The sequence below is a fragment of the Homo sapiens genome, chromosome 17 (assembly GCF_000001405.40).
Source record: "Homo sapiens chromosome 17, GRCh38.p14 Primary Assembly".
Classification (NCBI taxonomy): domain Eukaryota; kingdom Metazoa; phylum Chordata; class Mammalia; order Primates; family Hominidae; genus Homo; species Homo sapiens.
The window spans coordinates 3,219,394-3,225,726 of NC_000017.11; positions in this window are offsets into that span (position 1 = coordinate 3,219,394).

Below are 6,333 nucleotides of genomic sequence, written 5' to 3' on the forward strand. Positions count from 1 at the left end.
ACAAAATGAATACAAGACTAATTTTGCTGTTACGGATAAACTCAGTAAGATCAAATGGAATTAGGTGTTTATTGCCCATGGTGAAATAATAAGTACCAAAGAGGATAGATACTATATAAGAAGGTATCCTTCTTTGCATCTACGATCCAGATGCAAACGTAGTGTGGAAATAGAAACCATAGAATGAATTATTATGATAGCAATAAGATGTCTAGAAGATTTTGAGTTCGAGTCACTAAAAGGAAAAAGATGCCCTTAATGACAGTAGTGAACAAAACAGCAATTTAAGAAAAAAAAAAAAAGTTCCATTTTGGGTGTGTTTTTAGTGTTCCAGTGACTCTTGTGGATGTATTGGATTAAATAGTAGAATGAAGATACAAAGCTTTGGAGCAAAATTAACAGAACATGGATCAGAGGGGAGCTGATAAGTCAAGTTTTCAACAAAGAGACTTGCAGAATGACTAAACTTCAAGAAAGGGAGCCAGGATGGAGAATGAGGATTCCAGCTGGGGAAGGAAGACACTTGTACAGTCAAGACTTGATGGTCCTCCAAGTCAAACTATGTGTCTCTCTCCCTTTTATATCAGTCAAGGGACATAGCACAGTGTATTGTCCTGCACTACTGAGCACTCAAATACTTGCTTTGAAAAAAATGAAACAAGGAAAAGTGGTAAATGCTACAAAAGAAGTTAATGTGCCACGTAGGTTCAGAGAAAGTAGCCATTTCATTACATATGAAATGTACATATGCATGTGGGCGTGTGCATTTCGTCTATCACATATATTATTGTCTCTGAATTTTCAAAATAGTCCTGTGGCACAGATGGCAATAGCCCTCCTTCCAGATGAAGAAGTCACATCTCTCAAAGATGAAGTGATTTAGCCCATGTCTTTCAATTAGAAAAATGCAGATCTTGTATTTGAGCCCAGTTTTCCTCATGCTGAATGCTCTTCCTCTGACTCCACAGCTGGCCTGTAGAGGGAATATAGAATAATGAGGAGAGATACCTAAGGAAGCCAGGATTTGTGCACCTGCAGGAAACATGGCTAGAACTTTAACAAGCAGAGGGGACACTCCAGCCATGGTAATGGTTCTTTTTATGATTCCTATTTATTTATTGCTTTTTAAGTTATTCCCCTTTATCTTCTGTTTTCATTCATGCTTGTAGGATTTCAATATACATGCTTAGCTTCTCACAGTCCATTTACAGTTAATATCACACCACCTCATGTAAAATGTAGAAGCTCTGTATTTGCATAATCTCATTTATTGCTCCAACTGCCTTTTGCTAGATGCTATATATATAACAACTACTTACACTACAAAACTGGCCATCAGAGAAATGCAAATCAAAACCACAATGAGATACCATCTCACACCAGTTAGAATGGCGATCACTTTCTTATTTTCAAAAATTATAAAATTGGGTTTAAGATATTCTTAATTCTAAGAAAATAGAATTTACGTTGACCTGGTGGCTCATGCCTGTTATCTCCGCACTTTGGGAGGCTGGGGTAGGAGAGCTGCTTGAGACCAAGAGTTCAAGACCAGCCTGAGCAACATAGCAAGACCCCATCTCTTAAAAAAAGTTTAAGTCAAAATGGACACCCACAGAAATAGAAAAGATCATTCGAGACTACTGTGAACACCTCTATGCGCAGAAACTAGAACATTTAGCAGATATGGATAAATTCCTCGAAGAACCTTCTTGGAAGTATATTATCCTCCACAATATGGAAATGAAGTAACATATGGAAATGAAACAAGTTTTTCAATTTTTTCTACTATTCATTGCTAATTTCATTCCATTGTAGCAGGAAAACATACTTTGTATTTTTTCTAGCCTTTTAATGTCATTGAGGTTTATTTTGTGGTCTAGCATATGGTCTATCATAGAGAATGTTCCCATGACACTTGAAAATAACTTTCTTCTTTTGTTGTTGGGCAGAGCGTTACATAGACATCTGTTAGGCGCAGTTAATTTACAGTGTGGATCAAGTCTTTATTTCCTTGTTGATCTTCTGTCTAGTTGTTCTATCCATTATTGAAAGTGGTATGTTGAATTCTCCAAATACTGTTGTTGAATTATTATTATATATTATATAATATATATATTATTATTATATATTATATATATTATTATATATTATATAATATATTATATATTATTATATATTATATAATATATTATATATTATTATATATTATATAATATATTATATAATATATTATTATATATTATATAATATATTATATATTATTATATATTATATAATATATTATATATTATTATATATTATATAATACATTATATATTATTATATATTATATAATACATTATATATTATTATATATTATATAATATATCATATATATTATTATTATTATTATTCCCCACCCCACAACAGGCCCTGGTGTGTGATGTTCCCCTTCCTGTGTCCAAGTGTGAAGATAATGTATGGAGTTTTTCTATGTAGATAAGTTGTTATCGGCTTCAAACAGACTGTTGTAAGAATTTTTATCCAAACCTCATGGTAATCACAAGGAAAAAGCCATTGTACAATCAAAAAATAAGACTGACAGGGCATGGTGGCATGAACCTGTAGTCTCAGCCACTCAGGAAGCTGAAGTGGGAGGATCACTTGAGCCAAGGAGTTGGAGACTGCAGTAAGCTAGGATCATGCCACTGCAATCCAGCCCGGGCAACAGAATGAAACCCTGCCTCTTAAAATAAATAAATAAATAAAAGTAACTTTTAAAAACAAAGAGAAAAGGATCAAAGTATATCACTATTTTACAAAATCATCAAACCACAAAGAATACAACAAGAGATGGACATCCAGCTTTCCCAGCATTCCAAGACACCTGTTAGGATGCCCACTCCAGTCTCACCTCACAGAGATCATAGTGGGGTAATGGCAAGGTTAACTCCCTGTGGTCAGATACAAACAAAGAAGGGAGGTGTTTCTCTGAGAAAGAGAGAAACAAAAGACTGACAAAAAAGACAGAACACAATCACAAATTGACCATAGTGTTTGCCTATCAATAATTACTTCAAGTATAAGCAAATTACACTCATTATTCAAAATATATACAGCAGCTAAATGAATTAAAATACATGATCCAACTATGTGCTTTCTAGAAGACACAAACTTTAAATTTAAGGACACAAAGAAACTGAAAGTAAAGGGAAGAAAAAATACATTCTATGCAAATTGTAACCAAGTGATGTGGTTTGGCTCTGTGTCTCCACCCAAATCTCATTTCAAATTGTAACCTTCATGTGTCAGGGGAGGAACCTGGTGGGAGGTGATTGGATCATGGTAGCAGATTTTCCTCATGTTGTCCTCATGATAGTGAGTTCGTTCTCATGAGATCTGATTGTTCAGAAGTGTGGCACGTCCCACTGCCCCTCTGTCTCCTGCTGCCAAGTAAGATGTACCTTGCTTCCCTTTCACTTTCTGCCATGATTATAAGTTTCCTGAATGCTTCCCCAGCTATGCAGAAATGGAGTCAATTAAACCTCTTTTTTTTATATACATTATCCAGTCTCAGGTAGTTTTTATGCAGTGTGAGAATGGACTAATACAGAAAATCGTTATCAGTGGATTAGGGTACCTCTATAAAGATACTTGAAAATGTAGAAGCAACTTTGGAACTGGGTAACAGGAAGAGGTTGGAACAGTTTGGAGGACTCAGAAGACAGGAAGATGTAGGAAAGTTTGGAACTTCCTAGAGACTTGTTGAATAGTTTTGAACAAAATGCTGAAAGTGATATGGACAATGAAGTCCAGGCTGAGGTGGTCTCAGATGGAGATGAGGAACTTATTGTGAACTACGGTAAAGGTGATTCTTGCTATGCATTAGCAAAGACACTGGAGGCATTTTGCACCACCCTAAAGATCCGTGGAACTTTGAACTTGAGAGAGATTATTTAGGTTATCTGGTGGACGACATTTCTAAGCAGCAAAGCATTCAAGATGTGACCTGGCTGTTTCTAAAAGCCTATAGTCATATGCATTCACAAAGAGATTATCTGAAATTGGAACTTATGTTTAAAAGAGAAGCAGAACATAAAAGTGTGGAAAATTTGCAGTCTGGCCATGCAGTAGAAAAGAAAAACCCATTTTCTGGGGAGAAATTCAAACTGGCTGCAGAAATTTGCATATGTAACAAGGAGCCAAATGTTAATAGTCAAGACAATGGGGAAAATGTCTCCAGGGCATTTCAGAGACCTTCACAGCAGCCCCTTCAATCACAGGCATGGAAGACTAGAAGACTCAATGCAGCCATGGGACATGGCACCCTGCATCCCAGCCACTCCAGCTCCAGCCATGGCTAAAAGGGGCCAAGGTAAAGCTCAGGCCATTGCTTCAGAGGGTACAAGTCCTAAACACTGGTGGTTTCCACATGGTGTTGGGCCTGCAAGTATGCAGAAGACAAGAGTTGAGGTTTGGGAATCTCAGCCTAGGTTCCAGAGGATGTATGGAAATGCCTGGATTTCCAGGCAGAAGTCTGTGGCAAAAGCAGAGCCCTCATGGAGAACCTCTACTAGGGCAATGCAGTGGGGCTGGAGCCCCCCATAGGAGAACCGCCTAGTGGAGCTGTGAGAAGAGGGCCACCATCCTCCAGCCCCCAAAATGGTAGATCCACCAACAGCTTGCACTAGGTGCCTGGAAAAGCCACAGGCACTCAATGCCAGCCCATGAAAGAAGTTGCAGGGGCTGTATGTACCCTGCAGAGCCACAGGGGTGGAGCTGCCCAAGGCCTTGGGAGCCCACCTCTTGCATCAGTGTGCCCTGGATGTGAGACATGGAGTCAAAGGAGATTATTTTGGAGATTTAAGATTTAATGGCTGCCCTGCTGGGTTTTGGACTTGCATGAGGGCTGTAGCCCCTTGGTTTTGGTCAATTTCTCCCTCTTGGAATGGGAGCATTTACCCAATTCCTATATCCCCATTGTATCTTCGAAGCATCAAAGTAACTAACCTGTTTTTTATTTTACAGGGTAGTAGGCAGAAGGGACTTGCCTTGTCCCAGATGAGATTTTGGACTGGAACTTTTGAATGCCTGAATGAGTTCAGACTTTGGGAGACTATTGGGAAGGCATGATTGGTTTTGAAATGTGAGAAGAACATGAATTTTGGGAGGAGAAGGGTTGGAATAATACGATATGGCTCTGTATCCCACCCAAATGTTACCTGGAATTGTAATCCCCACATGTCAGGGGAGGGAACTGGTATGAGGTGATTGGATCACGGAGGCAGATTTTCCCCATGCTGTTCTCATGATAATGAGTGAGTTCTCATGAGATCCAATGGTTTAAAAGTGTGGCACTTCACCCTCCCCTTCTCTCTCTCCTGCTGCCATGTAAGATGTGCCTTGCTTCCCCTTTGCCTTCCACCATGATTGTAAGTTTCCTGAGGCCTCCCCAGCCATGCAGAATTGTAAGTCAATCAAAGCTCTTCCTTACCTAGTCTTTACCCAGTCTCAGGTAGTTCTTTACAACAGTGTCAAAACAAATACACCAAGTGTGCAGGGTGGCTATACTTACATCAGATAAAATGGACTTTAATTCAAAAGCTGTTACAAGAAACAAAGAAGGTCATTACATAGTGACAAAATGGTTGATTCCATAGGAATATATAACAATTATAAATATACATGTACCAAACATCAGAGCACCTAACTATATAAAGCAAACATTGACAGATTTTAAGGGATACATAAAAGCAGTACAGTAATAGGAGACTTTCCATAAAGGATTTATAATCTGAACAGAAGATCAATAAGGAAACACCAGATCTGAACAATGCCATAAACCAATGTATGAGTCAGACATGTACAAAACATTCCACCCAACAGCAGCAGAAAACACATTCTTCTAAAACAGACATGGAACATTTTCCAAGAAAAATCACATGCTAGGTTACAAAATAATTGTTAACAAACTTAAGAAGATTGAAATCATTCTGTGTGCCATTTCTGGCTATTAAAAAATGAAAAATGAATTCAATAACAATAGGAAAATTATAGATTATATGAAATTTAAACACTCCTGAACAACTATTGACTCAAAGAAGAAATTAAAAAGAAAATTAAAAAATATTTCAGGGAAAACAATGAAAATAAACACAACATACAAAAACTTACAAGTTGCAGCAAATGCAGTACTAAGAGGGAAATTGACAGTGAGAAACTTACATTATGAAAGAAGAAAGATCTCAAATAAACAACCTAACTTTACACTTAAGGAAGTAAAAAATAAGACATTAAACCCAAAGTTAGCAGAAGGAAGAAAATCATAAAGAATAGAGCAGAAATAAATGAAAC